This window comes from Homo sapiens, chromosome 12, assembly GCF_000001405.40.
Source record: "Homo sapiens chromosome 12, GRCh38.p14 Primary Assembly".
In the NCBI taxonomy this organism is placed as follows: domain Eukaryota; kingdom Metazoa; phylum Chordata; class Mammalia; order Primates; family Hominidae; genus Homo; species Homo sapiens.
Genome location: NC_000012.12, coordinates 27371733 through 27390516, shown reverse-complemented (window position 1 = coordinate 27390516; position 18784 = coordinate 27371733). Strand labels below are relative to the sequence as shown.

At 39.8% G+C, this 18784-nt stretch overlaps 1 protein-coding gene and 1 long non-coding RNA gene across 21 annotated transcripts in view; one reads left to right on the top strand and one right to left on the bottom strand.

The window, feature by feature from the left end:
• BMAL2-AS1 (BMAL2 antisense RNA 1) overlaps positions 1 to 728 on the top strand; it is a 56846-nt gene extending 56118 nt beyond the window's left edge. The window contains exons 3-4 of the long non-coding RNA NR_109975.1: positions 28 to 122; positions 349 to 728. This is a non-coding gene — a long non-coding RNA (BMAL2 antisense RNA 1). The remainder of the gene's footprint in view (positions 1 to 27; positions 123 to 348) is intronic.
• The window catches only part of BMAL2 (basic helix-loop-helix ARNT like 2), a 92451-nt gene that overhangs the window by 34770 nt on the left and 38897 nt on the right, over positions 1 to 18784 (bottom strand). For 6 of the 20 annotated variants that reach the window (NM_001394525.1, NM_001248003.3, NM_001248005.3 and 3 more), the window contains 5 exons: positions 10113 to 10270; positions 4957 to 5036; positions 3197 to 3289; positions 1221 to 1338; positions 278 to 421 (listed from right to left, as the gene is read on the bottom strand). In NM_001394525.1, the coding sequence (NP_001381454.1) occupies positions 278 to 421; positions 1221 to 1338; positions 3197 to 3289; positions 4957 to 5036; positions 10113 to 10270 (593 nt within the window). Of the gene's footprint in view, positions 1 to 277; positions 422 to 1220; positions 1339 to 3196; positions 3290 to 4956; positions 5037 to 10112; positions 10271 to 12952; positions 13077 to 14100; positions 14172 to 18784 lie in introns of all 20 variants that reach the window. The other 14 variants (NM_001394524.1, XM_011520769.3, NM_020183.6 and 11 more) reach the window with 6 other exon arrangements.

Genomic DNA, 18784 nt, shown 5'->3' with positions numbered 1-18784 from the left:
TCTTGTCATTTTTTTCCCACTTGATAGGCCCCAAACTACAATTTCAATAACACCATTAAAATCTTGGGCAACAAAGATAATATGTAATTACCTGATAAATTCGAAAGATGTGATGAACAAATGTAAGTAATTTTGGTTTAAAAAAATCTTATTTTTAAGATGCTTTTGAATTCAAATATTTCCCTTGACCATATATTTTATTTTTTCTGTACAGAAAATATTTAGGACATTAATTTTATAGCCATGCTTTGCATCACTTGACATTTCAAAATGATACCTTTCTTCTTTGAGTTGGGTAAGCATCCATGCTCTTCTTTGACAGAGATTTTACAACTCTTTATCCGACAGAAAAAAGATCGTCTTGAGCCAGAATACACACGTGTCCTTCCAGCGTGGAGATTACTGTGAACTTGCAAACCAGCTTTCGTGCAGAAGGGGGCGAGAGAATAGGTGGAAAAGAATATTGTCAAATAATTTTGAAATTTATCTCCTAACATTTTCTGACCATCTATTATTGAGAAAGGAAACAGTTTTTTAAAGCAATGGCATGATTGTACAGTAAACCCTGAAGTGAAATATACCCAAAAAATGTATTTGTCAAGCAATCACATTTTGATAACTTACAGACATTTGCAATTTATCTTTCTTTTTTCCTCAAATGGGGAAGAACAAAGTTAATTTAAGTGAAATGAAATAAAAATTAAATTAAAAAATGAAAAAAACCTTAACTATTACAGGAATCAATTGTTTTATATTTTACATAATTATTTGGTACTAGGCATTTTCAGAGAAGAAAAAAATACTTATACTTCCCAAACACAATTATACAAGGTCTTTCATACAGAAAAGACCTAATCCATATAAAAAAGAGAGTAATTGTCTTTTAGCATATAGCTAAATAATGGGAACTTCAGCAATTTTTTATCCAAATGATACTTTCTTGTAAAGATTTTATTTGCATATGAAAAATAGCAAATATGAAGCACTCATATTTTCCCCAAAGCATCTTCATATCAATGAATTTGTGTTTGTATATGTCTGTATGAATATAGGAATTTTCTATATAGCTATATATATTTATTAAGTATGATGTAAAGTTTACAAAACAATTCTCTCTTGATAAAAGCTTAGTTAGCTGTTTTAAAAACACTGTGTAGCTAAACTTTTAGGTGATCATTACATTTACATAAAATAATAAGCATGCGGAAATGGACACTTACTTTTGGCATCTATTAGCTTTTCTCTTGGTGAAATATCAAAAGAAGAAAGTTGTTCCTTTACTTTGGCAACATCTTTTGGATGTAAGAAGTCAAATAAGCTTTGTCCAGTCAAACTAGCCTATTCATAAGGTAGACATTCATTTAAAATCAGTACCATGCTTTTTCTACATTTCTTGATGCATACAATAAATGTTCTTTTTTGATTTTTGATTGATTTTTCTCAAGCTCAAAGATATGTCCACGACACTGTGTGACATGAACTTAATGTTCAAAGCAGGGTGATACTTGTAGACAGAAAAAAATACATGCGTATAGAACCATCCCTGGATATACACAAACCATATACAAACACCAATTGCTAGTATTCTGCTAAATCTTGTAACTCTTGTTAACATGTTACTTGTAAATGATTGTGATTTACTTTGAACTTTTTTTGTCCTTGTTAAAAAAAAGAGATTACATCATAGTATAATATAGAAATCACAGAATATCTGTGACTTTATCAGATATTTACCATACAGTTTAAAAAATTACCATACTATTGATAGGTAAAATCCAACCCAGAATACCTCTCACTTCCCATTCCACCACTCCCAAAAGGCACAGCATCCCCAGGTCTATGCCTTTGCTGATACAGTCCCACCCCTCAGAATTCATCACCCCTTCCCTATCCCTTGGCCACTCCAGCCAAATTGCCTTTGACTCCCTAGACTTCCGGGACTCCCTTCTCCCAGGTTGAAATGTTTCCTCCCCTTCTCTACACCTTCCTTCTGACAAGCCTGGCAGACATCCTACTTCATGTGTGACGCCTTCCTGACCCACAGTGGCCACCCCTCTTCTGAATTCCTGTATTACCCAAGCAAACATTCCTATAGACAACAGGACTAACGGACCAGCCGATATAAGCAGGCTGAATTGTTTGGCGGTTATATGTTTCATTCTAAAAAAAACTGTGTGGTTAATATAAGTCTATATCCAGAACTCTCTAGGGCAGACCAAGTTTCTGAATCTGAAAAGCTGAGGACTAAATCCTGAATCATGGGAATCCCTACATGCCCCTGAGCAGCCAGTAAGTCTCTTAATAGCCTCTTCTATGCAAAGTCAGTGCCCAGTAGGACTGGATTCCATGTCACTAACTTGAAACTTAAGTGGTACCCTAAACTGTCAGTTACCTGTGTGTGTGTGTGTGTGTGCGTGCATGTGTGTGTGCATGTGTGGGTGTGTTTTCCATCTCCAGTTAGAACGTGGAATCATGAGGTTTGTGCCCCCAGCTATAACCAGCTGAAGGTTTCATCGGTTTTCAATCCTCCTGTACACAGGCTCATAATATTCCCTTATTTCTGTTATTTAACTCATTATCTCTGAACACCCTTATAATCTAATGTGAGTTATTAAAAAACAGTGCTGCAGTCTATCGGATTTCTAGTGCTAGTTTATTCACTTACTTGGGTTAGTTTCAATGCTATAATTTTTGAGTAGCTAGTTTCCATGAAATGGTGTTCAGTAATAAGGAGGTGAAGTACTAAACTAGTTAAATGAAAGATGTATTTCAGAGAGTGTTGCCAGAGATTAGATCAAAGGCTGTCATGCAATGATTATAACTTAATAATTAACCATAAAGTGTCTCTTGGAGGGAACAGAGAAGGGTGACTAACACTTTTCAGACACTCTTAAATATGACACCTCATTTAGTCTTTACATCTTGAGAGACAGGTATAATCATTTTGACTTTTTACATAGGAAGAAGCTGAGGCTCAGTAAAATTAAGTAACTTGCTGAAGGTCAGGAAGGGAACGCAATCAGTCATAAAGATCCTTACTCTTTCCACACAGCTTTCCATCTCTCTTGGAGTTCTAACTTAGCAGAATCTAATCCCATATCCCAGTGGGGAGAAGGTGTTCAGAAAAAGAGCTTAAAAATATGTGTTTGTTCAAAAAATTAAACATTGTATGGAAAATATCCTCATTTTTGGATACCTGATCATAATTAAGTATTTTGGAGACTGACTTAGAAACGAAGAGAATTTTTCCTCTTTCACATCCAACCACAAATAAGAAGCCTTCTGCAGTCTAGGATTTAAAAAAAAAGTGAATATTTTAAAATATTGTCTGTCTCTTATACACACGCACACACACACACACATTCAGATTCTGAGGAAATTACTGTGGCAATAAAACTAACAGAGTAGTCATGGAGCTAGTAAAATTAATTTTAAGAAATGTTCTTAAGATGCAAACAGATTTATAAAGAGTGTCAAGTTGAAATCCTATTCTAAATTAATGTTTTGGACATGAAAAGTTTGGCTGCAGAATATTTAGTTGAGACATTTCTTAAAAACTAAAATTAGGCCAGGTGCTGTATATGAGCCTAAATACAGCACTAAATGAGCCTATATCCCAGCACTTTGGGAGGCCGAGGCAGGTGGATCTCTTGAGCTCATGAGTTTGAGACCAGCCTGGGCAACACTGGCGAAACCCTGTCTTGACAAAAAATACAAAAATTGGCCGGGCATGGTGGTGCACGCCTCTAGTCCCAGCTACTGAGGAGGCTGAGACGGGAGGATGGCTTGAGCCCGGGAGGTGGAGGGTGCAGTGAGCCGAGATCGCACCACTGCATTCCAGCCTAGGCAACAGAGCCAGACCTTGTCTCAAAAAATAACAATAAAATAAAATTACCTTTACCAAATTCTACTACACTGCATGCAGAACAACAATTGCCTGTGGATGTGTTGAGGTAGAAGGACAGGGCAGAATGAGGACAGGGAAGCAATGAAGACATTATACTGTACACCTTGTTATAGTTTTTGAATAATAAAAAGGCATCACTCATTCTAAACTAATGTGTCAGCTACTCTCATAAGGTCTACCCAGCAAATCCCATGAAGCAGCCTGCATGGAAGCGGGTACATATGGCACATAGGAAGAGTCTGGCACTCTTGCTGGGCATGCTCTGCAGGGCAGAAGCAGGGTTCCATGAAGGTACGACTGACGAGCATGTACAGATTGGTGAGAAAGCTTCGAAAGCAAATCGTACATTTTGCCACCTTCAAAAATCCTTTTTATCCACACAATATCCTTTCTATCCCTGCCAGAAATGCTATATTTAAATTCAGCTGTTCAAATAAAAGAGTGGCTTTTTTTAATTAAAGGAAAAATGGACAAAAATGTGTATGAAGAATCCTTCTATTTAATTTGACTATGGCTTAAAACCTAGTAGTCACACAGCACATGACCAAGACATTTATCACCTCCGAGGGCATGAGAAGCAAATCACATGATCACAGTTTCCCCTCTAGACCGGTGAATCTGAAAAGCCATGCACAGGAATGATGAGGACGGAAATGTCAAAGCACTAACAACTCTAAGTAAGCAGTGACTGGCCTCCGAGAAGAACAGGATCCTGAGGGAACAGGATGCCAGGCAGACGGCTTTGAAGGAGGTGGTGATCATGGGGGAGTAGATCCTATGTGTGAGAGATGGGTAGTATAAAATGCTTAGCACTGAATACAAGCTTTGCTCCATAGTGTGGAAAGTGCCTATCCTCTGTCTCTACTTTCATTAACACAAACTAGTAATGCATGGCTACTTCTCTATTTTAAACTTCTATATTAAAGGAAATACGGTGTAATATGGAGTCCCATATGTTTAGAACAGGAAGCAAATGGAAGAAAATCTGCCTCCTATTCAAACAGCAATGAAAGCACATACACAACTTAGACAAATATATCTTTAGTTACCTTAAGGATTAAATGTCTGAGCTCATTATCCTGAAGAAATGATGGTCTATAATTACTTCCCACATAAGAATTTGTCAAGCCTAAAAAGAAAGGCATCAAGAGTTATTGGAAATATAGTAGAGAGGGCAAAATGCTTAATGAACATTAGCAATGCTGCTGCTGCTGGTATTTGCTCTTTGGCACATTCTAAGACATTTTCTGTAATCATTTTTTTTTTCATTTTCATTTAATTTAATTATTTATTTTTGAGACAGAGTCTTACTCTGTTGCCCAGGCTGGAGTGCGGTCGCGCAATCTCAGCTCACTGCAACCTCCACCTCCTGAGTTCAAGTGATTCTCGTGCCTCAGCCTCCTGAATAGCTGGGATTATAGGCGCATGCCACCACGCCCAGCTAATTTTTATATTTTTATTAGAGACAAGTTTTCACTATGTTGGCCAGGCTGGTCTTGAACTCCTGGCCTCAAGCAATCCACTCACCTCAGCCTCCCAAAGTGCTGGGATTACAGGAGTGAGCCACTACGCCCAGCTAATCATTTTCTTTCTTCATTATCACTTGATTAAAATTTCTTTCTTTTAGATTGTGAATTCTTGGAACTACTTATTCCTTTATATTCAAATATGCACATTAAGAGCTATATATAAAAACATTATAATAAAATGTACATGAAATAAAATTCAAGGATTGATATGCAGTAGTCCCCCGTTAGCTGTGGTTTCAGTTACCTGTGGTCCACCATGGCCTGCAAACAGGTGAGCACAATACAATAAGATATTTTGAGAGAGCCAAAGACAGAACATATAACATTTTTACAGTATATTGCTATAATTATCCTAGTTTATTATTGATGTTAATCTCTTAATATGCCTGATTTATAAGTTAAACTTTATCATAGGTATATGTGCATAGGAAAAAAGTACTATGCCTAGGGTTCAGCACTACCCACGGTTTCAGGCATCCACCAGGGTCTTGGAATGTATGCCCCTATGGATAAGGGGGGACCACTACAGTTATTTAGATAATGTCTTAGCTAATTAAAATTTATCATATGAGTTACCTTGAATGGGGGTATTCTGGAATTCTAAACAAATGTTACGGATTCATGAGATTTTCCAGTAAGAAAATCCTTTAATGGCAATATAGAGACCTCTATTCTGATAATACACAGATTATTTTAAAAATGTATAAAATATAAATGAAATAATTAATTTTCAGCCCTTAGCACTGAGTTATATTAAAATGAAAGTCTCTAAAGCAGCTGAAGAGCTTGCAAAATGATGAGGAATTATCAGGCCAAAACCAAGGGAAATGTTTGACCTGGGAGGAGTAAGGGAATCCACCAACCCAGATTCGCAAAGCCCTTCATGGCCACAAGGGGGCGTATGACACAGACGACAAAGCCAAGCAAGCCATCCCCAGGGCAAGGATGATTCAGAAGTAAGTCAATTTTCCCTTCCTTATATTCCCCAACCTTCTTGACTCCTATCCCTTCTTCCTGGGTACTGTAAGAGAAGTTGCTTTTGCAGGGGAAAGGTGGGGTAACATCCTTAGACATTTTAACCACACATTGGCCCTCGGACGGATCTGTGGCCCAAACTCACCAATGAACTAAGTGGTGGTGGTGGTGGCAAAGTAAGTGGGCAGGGCAGAAAGACAAAATGCCTCATGCTATGATTCAGTACAGTTTTCTCAGACTCGTAGCACTCTTAAGAGCCTGGCATAGGGAAAAGAAAATCTCTTCTGTTGGAATCTATCTTCATCCTAGGGCTCAGGGAATTCTCCCAATGACTTCTTGCTAATATTACTACACAGCAGCTTGGGAGGGAGCTGAGGAAGGAATGAAGAACGCAGACTCTGAGTGCTAGGTCAGGGAACAGCAGTAAACTGATTTTGAGCAAGATAATGACATTTCAGGTCTGGCCTGCAGCAAGGTTGGCAGAGCATACCAGGCAGAAGTGGGCTGGGAAACCCCGTCGGTGTACATCAGCCATCACAGGCGAGCCCTGACTCGGTGAGTGAGTGGGGATGTGCTCGAGAGAAAATGAGGGCAGTGAGAGCAGCACTGAGGCATGGTAGAGGCTGGCCAGTAAATGCATGCCATGGTGTTCTGCACACTTGTCCACACATTGGCTCTCAGAGTTCCCATGGCAAAAACCAACGAGGCAACATGATCACTTACTTTTTTCACAATGTTCATTGGGTTAAAAAAAAATCAAAATGACAGTAACAATTCCTCTTCCTCTTCTGACCCCATCCCCACCATTTGAACACTGTGCTGTACTCTACATGCATTACTCTTTACTCTTAACAATAGTCCCAGGAGGCAAATGCATCCCTATCTCACAGATGTGAAAACTGAGGATTAGAATGTCAAATAACTTGAGTAAGTCACATAGCTATAAAGGGAGGAAGCCAGGATTTGAACCACAAGGTCTGCCTTCAGGACGCATGCGTGTGAACCACTGTGCTTCACTGCCCCGCCTGGTAATCAGATTGCAGACACAGGACCTCATGCTGCAGAGCAGGGCTACTCTAAATGTGGTCTGCAGACCAATGTCATCAGCAAACTGTGGTGAGATCAAGTGCAGAATTTAAGAAGTATTTAGAGGCTTTTATAAAAACATAACATTGCTGTGACAGCCAAACCCATGATCATTTTTCCATAATTAACTGTATTTTACAATGAACTAGTGGTGGATGGGGGGAACACCTGTTCTTCATCCAGATCGTTTAAAAAGCACTGCTGTAGAGTATAGTGAAAAAAATCACATCACCATCCTTCTGCCTTTAACCTAATTATGCTATGGACCAAAATAACATGATCCACAGGCAGCCCTCTGTTGATCTGGCTTCTAAGTTTTTGCCGAGCAAGTGTGGGGATGCTGTGACAATACCCTGGAATGCAGATCCAGTTGCCTTAAATCATCTTGCTTGTGAGCAGCACTGACCGAAGGATCTGGTCAGACTGCGGGGATGAGTACTTAACCATGTCACTTCTGTTCAGCAGAGCTGAGGCAAAATCTACGCCCTGTTCCAAGGAATCTCCTCTGGACTCACCTCCTCCCTGCTGAGCTTTCACAGCCTCCCCTCTCACTCGAACCACTGCTGTAACATTCATCGCACCAGACTCTGACGATCTCTTCCTAAGTCAGTCTTCCTAGTCAGACCACAAACCCTTAAAGGGCAGAGATCTTGCCTCATTAATTTTTATATTCTCAGCACAGAACAGGAATGCGGTTGATGCTCAGATCATGTTTTGTTGAACTAGTCGACTGATTCATGGCTTTTCCCTTAGGTCTTCCTCCCTTAGGACACTGCTAATGTGAAAATACTCAGCTAATTTCAGGGTTGCAATCAAATGACCTCAGTTGAGCCTGTAAATTTTCATTGCTGAAGGATTTAAGGAAAATATTGCAAGCCTCAGCTGTGGGTAAAAGAGAAGCTTATTTCACAACAGACTGTTATGAAAATAAGATCTCCCATCATGCTCCCAACAGGAAGCACCAGGAGTCTAGGTGAGTGCTGCTCTCCTCTTAGCCACCTTAACTTGACTTGACCATACCTTGCATGGTGCCCAGATAATTTCCATTACCCTGAAATATATTTTCCTTTTCCTGGCAGTGTTTGAGATCTAAACTAAGACCCTTGGTCATCCTTTGCTCACTCCCTTTTTATGATTTTTGAGCCAAATTTCACTATAATCTTCTAGATCTTTACAAATCTGAACTTGCAGAGTCTCCTCTGGAGTCTTCAGCTTGCTGCTTGGCCAGGTCTTATCTTTTCAGTGCAAATTTACATCATCGGCATTGGTAAATCGAAAACTCTATTCCACTTCACCCAAGTTGGACTGGGGCTATTCCCAAAACAGGGGTGATTTCTACCGCACATGTTGACATGGTTTGGCTCTGTGTCCCCGCCCAAATCTCATGTCGAATAATAATCCCCAGTGCTGGAGGTGGGGCCTGGTGGGAGGTGACTGGATCATGCTTGTGGATTTTCCCCTTGATACTGTGTCACAATAGTGAGTTCTCATGAGATCTGGTTGTTGAAAGTGTGTGGCACCTCCCCTACCCTCTCTTGGTCCTGCTCCTGCCATGTAAGATGCCGGCTCCCACTTTGCCTTCTGCCATGAGTGAAAGCTCCCTGAGGCCTCCCCAGAAGCAGAAGCCACCATGCTTCCTGCACAGCCTGTGGAACCGGGAGCCAATTAAACTTCTTTTCATTATAAATTACCCAGTCTCAGGTATTCCTTCATAGCAATGCAAGAATGGACTAATACACAGGTACACATATACATTTATTACACTTTGATTTAAAATTCAAGCTCAAGTTGGGGAATTGCTAAAGCCAGAAATGATCACCCACACACCAAGAGGCAGTGGCAAGGACCTCCTTCCCCCAGTGTCTCACATATTTGAGGATACTCTGAATGGCAACATGTGATGCATTATAAGGTACTACTCGTAAATCTGAATGAAGCTTTAAGAGAAACTGCAGAGTTTAAGGAAGTTTTCTTTTTGAAGGATAGAAATCTCTCAATAACTTAATAATTAATACTATACTTCAGAACTTTTTTTTTTTTCTGAGACAGGCTGTCACCCAGGCTGGAGTGCAGTGGCATGATTACTGCTCACTGCAACCTCCACCTCCCAGGCTCAAGCGATCCTCCCACCTCAGCCTCCCAGGTAGCTGGGACTACAAGCACGCAAGACCACACTTGGCTAATTTTTGCATTTTTTTGCCCAGGCTTGTTTCGAAATCTGGACTCAAGCCATCCGCCCACCTCAGCCTCCCAAAGTACGGGGATTACAAGCATGAGCCACCACGCCCAGCTCAACTTCAGAACTTCTAAAGAATTGAGAGGTATGAAAGGCAGGTGATATTCTCTTCATAATATATGTGAAGAAGAAATGTAAATACCTTTCAAGGTTGTATAGTGAGCTTGAGAAAAAGCTTTTATCAGAACCAAGTTTTCTGACATCCAATTCAGTATTCTCTCCACATACAGACTATAGACAAATGCCAGTGAATACCTCTAAAGCTGAAAGACACATCTGGATAGAACCTCAACAGCTGACAGCAAAGCGAACCAATCAGAGACCTCAGTGACAGAGCAGATTTCACTTATCGAAGTGTGGAAGCCATCGTCAAACTCACCTTTTAAAGATCTCAAGTGTTGAACAGCCATTCTTAAAACTGTAAGTTTGTCCAGTTTACGCGCCATGGGGTTGCACTGAGGGATCATTGCAGACAGTTCTTCAATCAGGTTATTCATTTTATCTCTCCTCCGCTTTTCAGTTTGGCTATGAGCTTCTCTAAGAGGGAAAAGGAACTTCCTTTATATTTAACATTCAGCAGACCCCCAGTCACCCCCGTGTTGCTCACTGGAGCAGATGCTGAGCCCAGCAGGCACACACTGTTCTTCCTCCCCACTTGGGCCCTGCAGTTGTCAGTGAGGGAAGAGGAAAGCGCTGCTGAGACCAGGAACAGCATTCATAAAACTCGCTGCCCTTGGTCAGTCCCTCCCTACCTCATTTTCTGAAATATTTAAAAACAAAGACATCTGTCTGAGAGCCCAGGTGGTTTTTCCACCTGTTTCCAATATTAGAGAAGAGATGGGTGCCCTTCTGTTCAAAGCTAACTATTCTCTGGTATTTGCATAAATAGTTGTCAGCATCTTAACCTCATTATTTTTATAGCTCCTTATCATGGGTCTATAAATGTGCTCAAGTATCTTCCCCCTGAAAAAAAAAACCCTTTCACTAATTCTAGTTGTTTTTTGTTCTTGCTACCGTCTTCCCCCCTCAGCAAACTCCCTGAAAGAGTGCAATTTCCACTCAATCTTTCATTTCCCAGGCATCTGTCCATCTGTAACATTAACCTTCCACAACCCCTGCCCCACTAAAACTGTCCCAGCGAAGATCCTCCTTCTCTCTTGCGATCTCTTGCTGATCCCTGCCTTGAATCTGACACTGCTGACACTTCTCATTCTCCCCTGGTCTCCACAGCCTCTCTGCCTCCTGGTCCTCCTCCACTCTCCCTGCTCGGTTCAGTCCCCTCGTCTCCTCACCCAGCTCTTACTTGATCCTTAAATACTGGTGTGCACTAAGATTCCCTGCTTAGCACCGCTCTCTCCTCACTCTTTATTCACCCTGAGATCTCATTCCCTCACAAGGCTTTACAGCTACTCATAAGCTATTTGTTATTATAACCCTATCTCATTCATACTTCACTCAGTTCCTGACCTTTGGAACTAGAATTATAAACCTAAATGATTCTCAAGAAATCTAAAATTCAAGAAACCCCAAACTGCATGCATTCTCTGCGATGTACCCCCATTTTCAATTCTTCCTGTACTACTCCTGATTTATAGGGTTTATCTTCCTTCTATAGGGTTTATCTTGGTAGGTAACACAACTAGACTCAATCTAGACTAAGCTTGTCCAAACTGTGCTCCAGGATGGCTTTGAATGCAGCCCAACACAAATTCATAAACTTTCCAAAAACATTATGAGATTTTTTTTTTTTAGCTCACTAGCTATCATTAGTGTTAGTGTATTTTATGTGTGGCCCAAGACAATTTTTCTTCTTCCAACGTGACCCAGGGAAACCAAACGATTGGATACCCCTGGTTTAGACCCTTCCTCTTCACCCTAAAAAGCCAAAGAATCACAAACTCCTGTCAATTCTAGATCTTAAAATATTTCTTAAATATGTCTTCTCTTCCTCTCCATCCCCTCTGTCATCATCTTAATTTAGGCTCATTGCATTACCCCAAAACCTTTTAAACTGCTGTTCCTTCCTCTCCTAGTCTATTCTATGACTTCCAAAATTATGTAGTAAAACAAATCCAGTCACCTAATCCCCTTGCATAAAACTATTCACTGCATTTCCACTGCCCAAGAGGACTAGCCAGATTCCCTAATTATAGGCCAGGGTTCTCCCTGATCTGCCTCATGTCTTCATCTCCAGTTTCTCTCTTCAAGACTTTCCCCGACAGCTCCAAATGTTCCACAGCAGCAACGCCTGAAGACTTGCTCATCCTCACACATGCCATACCGTCTCACATCTCCTCCATGCCTTGCTCTTTACCAGGCTTACAAAGTCCTTTCTGACTATACTGTTGGAGAAATCCTATTCTTTCTTCAAAATCCAACTCAGTTATTCTTCTGGGAAGCTTTCTCTGACTACTACATGATTAATCACTGCTCTCTCTAAGCTACCTCAGTACCTTTCATACCACTACCCTTATTTCATCAAATCTAAGAGCCACCAATTGTAAGACGCACTATTATTTAAAGCATCACAAGAGAAAGAAATGCTGCCAATTGACAGGAAGATGCCACTGATGATAAGAAATTTCCACAGAAGATAAAACGTAGAGGAGAAAAGTGTATCTTAGATTTCAAGAATTACATGATTTTACCTGTCACACTTTGCTGTAAATCCCTCTCCTACAACACACAGCAACTCCAGAATTTCTCTATTAGAATAGTTTAGGGGCAATCTGATGAGAAAGAGGGTAAGTGGGAGACTTCCCTGATCTGTTTTTATAAAGACTTTAAATTGGATAAAAGAAAGTGTAATTTTTCCAGATAAGAGTAGGGAGGTGGGTAGGGAGGAACACCGATGAAGGCTGTGGGAGCTACCACACCCCCTGCCCCAACCATTCACCCTCGGCAATGACACTCCTGGAACAAAATACACACTGTTGGGCGAAGTGGATAGGATTCAGATTAAATTGTATTCACATAAAATTCAGTTATCTACTCATACTTTGTTCTATTTGTGAGCAATTAGATTTTTTTCTTTATCTTTTTAAAGACAAGGTCTCACTCTGTTGCCCAGGTTGCAGTGCAGTTGTATGATCATAGCTCACTGCAGCCTCAAACTTCTGGGCTCAAATGATTATTCTGCCTCTGCCTTCCAAGGAGCTGGGATTACAGAGCAATTTGATTAAAATTAAAATGTTATGATTAAAAGAATATTGTAGTTACACTCTCACTAGAAGGATCATCTCTTCTAACAGTATTCCCCATCAGCATGGACAGCAGCGATGGATAGAGACTCCTGACTCCAGGATGTACAGCAGAGGAAGGGGTGCTCTCTCTGAGCCAGGATCTGGAGAGAGATGAGAGCAGGGTGGGAGAAAGCCCACTGTGGAGAAGGTCAATGATGATGCTGGGAGCCAGGAAACCCAGGGCAAGGTGAAAGAACCAATGTCTGAATAAAGTACTTTACTTGAAAGAGCTACACCCGAAAAGGTTTCTGGAGGCTTTCATTAAGGAAAGGCATATTTATCCAGAGGCTAGCTCTCTGCTTAATACTTCATCAGAGCTCTGGCTCCTAATTCTGTGTACAGTTACTGCCATGTTGAACCATGGCAGTATTTTGTAGAATCCTATCAGAAAACAAAATAAGTGGAGAAAAAGCAAAACTCTGATAGGCGATGTTGCCAGATGTAGAAAAATATTTTATTGTTGTTGTTGAAAAAATATGTTGAAATAATTGACAAAGAACTCATGAGGATGGGTTTCTTTTTTTTTTTTTTTTTTTTTTTTGAGACGGAGTTTTGCTCTGTCGCCCAGGCTGGAGTGCAGTGGCGCGATTTCGGCTCACTGCAAGCTCTGCCTCCCGAGTTCACGCCATTCTCCTGCCTCAGTCCCCCCGAGTAGCTGGGACTACAGGTGCCCACCACCACGCCCGGCTAATTTTTTGTATTTTTAGTAGAGACGGGGTTTCACCGTGTTAGCCAGGATGGTCTCGATCTCCTGAACTCGTGATCCACCTGCCTCGGCCTCCCAAAGTGCTGGGATTACAGGTGTAAGCCACTGCGCCAGGCCGAGGATGGGTTTCTAACAGTCAGATGCCCCTCATAAGTAACTGATTTGTTTAAGTCATTGATCAATTTTTCTTTAGTGCTTGAAGAAAATAATAGGTTTTTTTTTAAGCTATTCTAAGAGAAAGTTAAAGGCATGAAAGCCAAAATGTTATCCAAGTAGACAGAAAAGCAAGACATCAGGTGCCTGATAACATTGCTTCTCAGAGCATAACAAGAGAGAAAAGCCTCATCTTCAAGCCCTTCTACCTTGGTGTCACCTTTGCCTTAGGCTACAGGCTTGCCTTTGTGTACCTTTCCACTCACCATGTACCATCTCAACAAGTCAATTGTACCTGAAGGCCTTCATTTTAACTTGGTGTTCACCATCTTCCACTCTACAAAAAAGCAGGATAAAATATCAAACTACATGAAGTACCTTTTCTGTAGTTCTTGATAGAGAAATAGATGTGAGATTAAGTCCAATCAATCATCCTAATTCCTATAAAATCCTTAGCTGTAAATGCTCCCTTGAGCACCTAATGACCTGAAATGATTCTTACTGTCTACATGAACCATTCTCCTCCTAACGCTGACAGGCAACACCATTCCCATAAGGATAACAAAAGTTATGTTAACTGACAGTGAACAATAATTAGTGTGCTACTTACATAATTAGATATGATCTCATGACAAACTTAAGCAAGAATAAGATTTTCATAGAATTAACATTAAAGTTATTAACATCATTGATGGCTTAACCAAAAACTTTATGATAGCTGTATTAAAACAGCCTGAAAATGGATTAAGAATCCCAGACCTTTAATCAAAAGGAATTTATTTTGCCTAAAAATCCACCTGGATGGTAACCAATATTGAAAACTGGAAACTCTTACCAATAATATTAATTTTCACATTAGTATAGTTCCTAGCATCAGAAATGTACTCAGCAGACGATTACTAAAATGAAATACGTTGGTAGTGATAGAAGACTGTCAGCATTTAAAAATCATGCAGGCTGCATAGCTTTTAAAAATATGTAATCTTAAAAGATTTATTTCCAAATGTATCGTTTTGTGGGAGATTTGAAAAATTCCAGGAAAAGCACCCATAATGCCACCTGGAAGTAATCACAGTTAATATTCTAATGTGTCTCCTTCCAGCATTTCCTAAACATGTAGATACATACAATGATTATTTAGCTTAGCCATGGTGCATGGGTACCATGTAGATATTTCTGTGTGTTCTACATGTATAATAAATAAAACTCAGATCATAGTATATAATTTTCATGTCTTGTCTTATTCATTTAACACTCTAACATGAATATTTCTGCGTAGTTTCAAATATTCTTGGATAACATAATTTGAAATGATTAAATAGTAGCCCACTGATTAGTTATAATTTATTCATTTGTTATTGTTGGATATTTCAACATTCTAATATTTTCAATATCATAAATAATATGGCTAATAATATTGTGGTGTGTGCATCTTGAATTATACTCTAGGATAAATTCCTAGAAGTACAATTTATGGATAAATATTTTAAAGCTTCTGATTCATCTTAACAAATTTCCCTCTTTACAGATTTTTAACAATGAATATTTTTCAGGCTTTGAAGAAAGGCTGGCCTACTTTAGAACTGTCTTATTCAGTTGAACTCTTTTGAGGTTTTAGTATTTTTCTACTTAAAAAAAGATAACACTTATAGAAAATTTAATCAAATTTATAAATAGATGCTTATAAATATTCCAAATAAAAAAGACCACGAAGACAAATGCTTAATCAAGTGGTGCTTTTCCTCTTCACAGTTTCAATCAAGAAGAGCTTTTATATTTATGGTACTTTATCAAAAATATTTCCACACTTGATTCTCACAGCACAGTGGTGAAGTTATTACTACCCCCATTTTACAGATGAAGGAGTTGAGTAAAGTTAATGACTGTGCAAGGTCCTATAACCAGTGGAGGCCAAGTGAAGACTACTCAATGCAGGCTGGTGCGCCTTCCACCATACCTGGCCATTTCTCTCACCACCGTCAGCCTGTTGTGTGGTTGGTACAAATAAAATTAAACAGCCTCTCTGAGGCAAAAGAGAGGGTCAGATTAAGTCAGCTTCTTTTCCCTTTTCTCTTTTTAGCCATCTTAAAGGAATAATCAGAAAACAATTATACAGATGAATAATTTTCTTCCTAATAGTCTGGAATTATATATAATTGTCCCTCAGCATCCATGGGGGACTGGCTCCAGAGCCTTCTGCAGATACCAAAACCTGTGGATGTTCAAGTCTCTTCACAGTATTTGCATACAACCTATGCACATCCTCCCATATACTTTAAATCATCTCTAGATTACTTACAATACCTAATAAATGTAAATGCTATGTAAATTGTTGTTATATGGTATTGTTTAGAGAATAATAACAAGAAAAATTAGTTTGGATATGTCCAATACAGACTTGCTTTTTTTTTTCTGGATATTTTCAACTTTTGGTTGGTTGCCCATGGATATGAAGGACTGACTATATATATGTATGTATATATACATTACTTCAATTTCAAAAGGTAAACTTTGACCTTTTAAAATCATGTCTTTGCTTTGATCATTGGCATTTTAGCAAATGAACTCACTGAGTGAATTTGCCTCCTTGGTGAAATTCAAATGTACTGTACTTACTAAATGCAAATACCCTTCTATTTAATGGCCCCTGGCAGAATAGAACAAAGGCAAGATCTTCTTAGTCAAACAATTCATTTCTTTGTTTGTAGCACAAATCTAGATAGTTAGTAAATTTGGTCTATAATCCTAATATTTTACAAATTTTTACAAATGTGTTTTAATAAGCTTTCTGATATTAATAATGGTCACATTACTGGGCTACATTTTCTTAGTGTAGAACCTTACATTACAGTAATAGAATTTCAAAATACAATGCAGTTTTCTTGAAAACTATTTTCACTGCATTTTGAATGAAATGTAGGCATTCTTTCTAAATCAACCAAAGACAAAGTTAGACGCAGATGCAATCTCAAAATATTCCCCAGATCTGCCATTTTTCAGGCATTCCTCTTTTTGGAACGTGCTTCCTTTGATTTCTGTGTGCCGCTCCCACTTCAGAGCCATGCCTTCACATATTCTGGGCAGGCTTCCCCTCATCTTGTACTATCTTTAGGTCAGCACCCCCAGAGTATATCCTCAGCCCCCAGTCTCCCCACTCCATCAGCTTCTCCCAGTGATGGCACCCACATCATCAGTTCAAGTACTTTTTGTGCATTAATGATGTCTGAGTCTCTAACTCCAGGCCAGGCCTCTACCCTGAGCTCCAAATCCTCATTTCCAACTTCCTGTTTGAAGGTTCTATAAATATCCCATTCTTAGTGTGTCCAGAACTGAACTCATCATTTTTGCCTCAATCTAAGTGAATGAAAATACCACCCTCCATCTAGGAGCCCAAGTCAGAAAACGTGGGCACACTTTATATCCTCTCCCCAGTGAACAATCATGAAGTCCTATTGATCCTATCTTCTAAGTGTGTCATATGTCCCTTCCTTTCCCTGCCCTTCCTGTCCAGGGCCACTCTCTTTGATCGATGCTCAGAAAACCTCGTCCTTGGCAAAAGCTATTCTCTGTTGTTCTCTCTGCCTGCTGGGTCTTCTTCTTTCAGCTCATCCTCCATGCTGTTTCCAGGGTGATTCTTTGAAAATTGTAAGACTGTACCACTCCCTCCTACCAGGATGGCTATAATCAAGCAATTGAAAATAATAAGTATTGGCTGGGCGCAGTGGCTCACGCCTGTAATCCCAGCACTTTGGGAGGCCGAGGTGGGCAGATCACGAGGTCAGGAGATCGAGACCATCCTGGCTAATACGGTCAAATCCCGTCTCTACTAATAATACAAAAAATTAGCCAGGTGTGGTGGTGGGCGCCTGTAGTCCCAGCTACTTGGGAGGCTGAGGTAGGAGAATGGCGTGAACTCAGGAGGCAGAGCTTGCAGTGAGCCGAGATCACGCCACTGCACTCCAGCCTGGGTGACACAGCGAGACTCCGTCTCAAAAAATAAAAAATAAAAAAAAATAATAATAAGTATCAGTGAGGATGAAGAAAATGGAACTCTTGTACACTACTCATGGGAATGTAACATGATACAGCCACTGTGGAAAACAGTATAGCAGTTCCTCAAAAACTAAACAGAATTCTCATATAACCCAGCAACTCTCTCCTAGGCATGTATCTGAAAGAATGGAAAGCAAGGACTAAAACGGGTATTTGTACATCAATGTTCATAGTAGCATTACTCACAATAGCCAAAAAGTGGAAATAACCCATCAACAGAGGACTGGATAAATCAAATATGGTGTATACACACAGTGGAATATTATTCAGCCATAAACAGGAATGAAATTCTGACACATACTATAATATGGATGAAACTTGAAGACATTATGCTAAGTGAAATAAGTCAGACACAAAAGAACAAACATCATATAATTCCACCTTTTTTTTTTTTTTTTTGAGATAGAGTCTCTCTCTGTCACCCAGGCTGGAGTGCAGTGGCACGACCTTGGCTCACTGCAACCTCCACTTCCTAGGTTCAAGCAATTCTCCTGCCTCAGCCTCTCAAGTAGCTGGGACTACAGGCGCATGCCGCCATGCCTGGCTAATTTTTTTGTATTTTTAGTAGAGATGGGGTTTCACCATGTTGCCCAGGCTGGTTGCAAACTCCTAAGCTCAGGCAGTCCACCCACCTTGGACTCCCACTTACGTGAAATAGTGGCAATTTGCTAGAATAAGCAAATTCATAGAGCCAGAAAATATACTAGAGGTTAGCAGGGGATCAGGAGAGAGGAGAATGGGAATGCTATTGTTTATGGACACAGAGTTCTTCTTTGGGGTGATTTAAAAGTTTTAGAAATAGAGGTGATGGTCTACAATACTGAATGTAATTGATGCCAATTAATTGTACACTTAATAGTGGTTCAAATGGCAAATTTCATGTTATTTATATATATA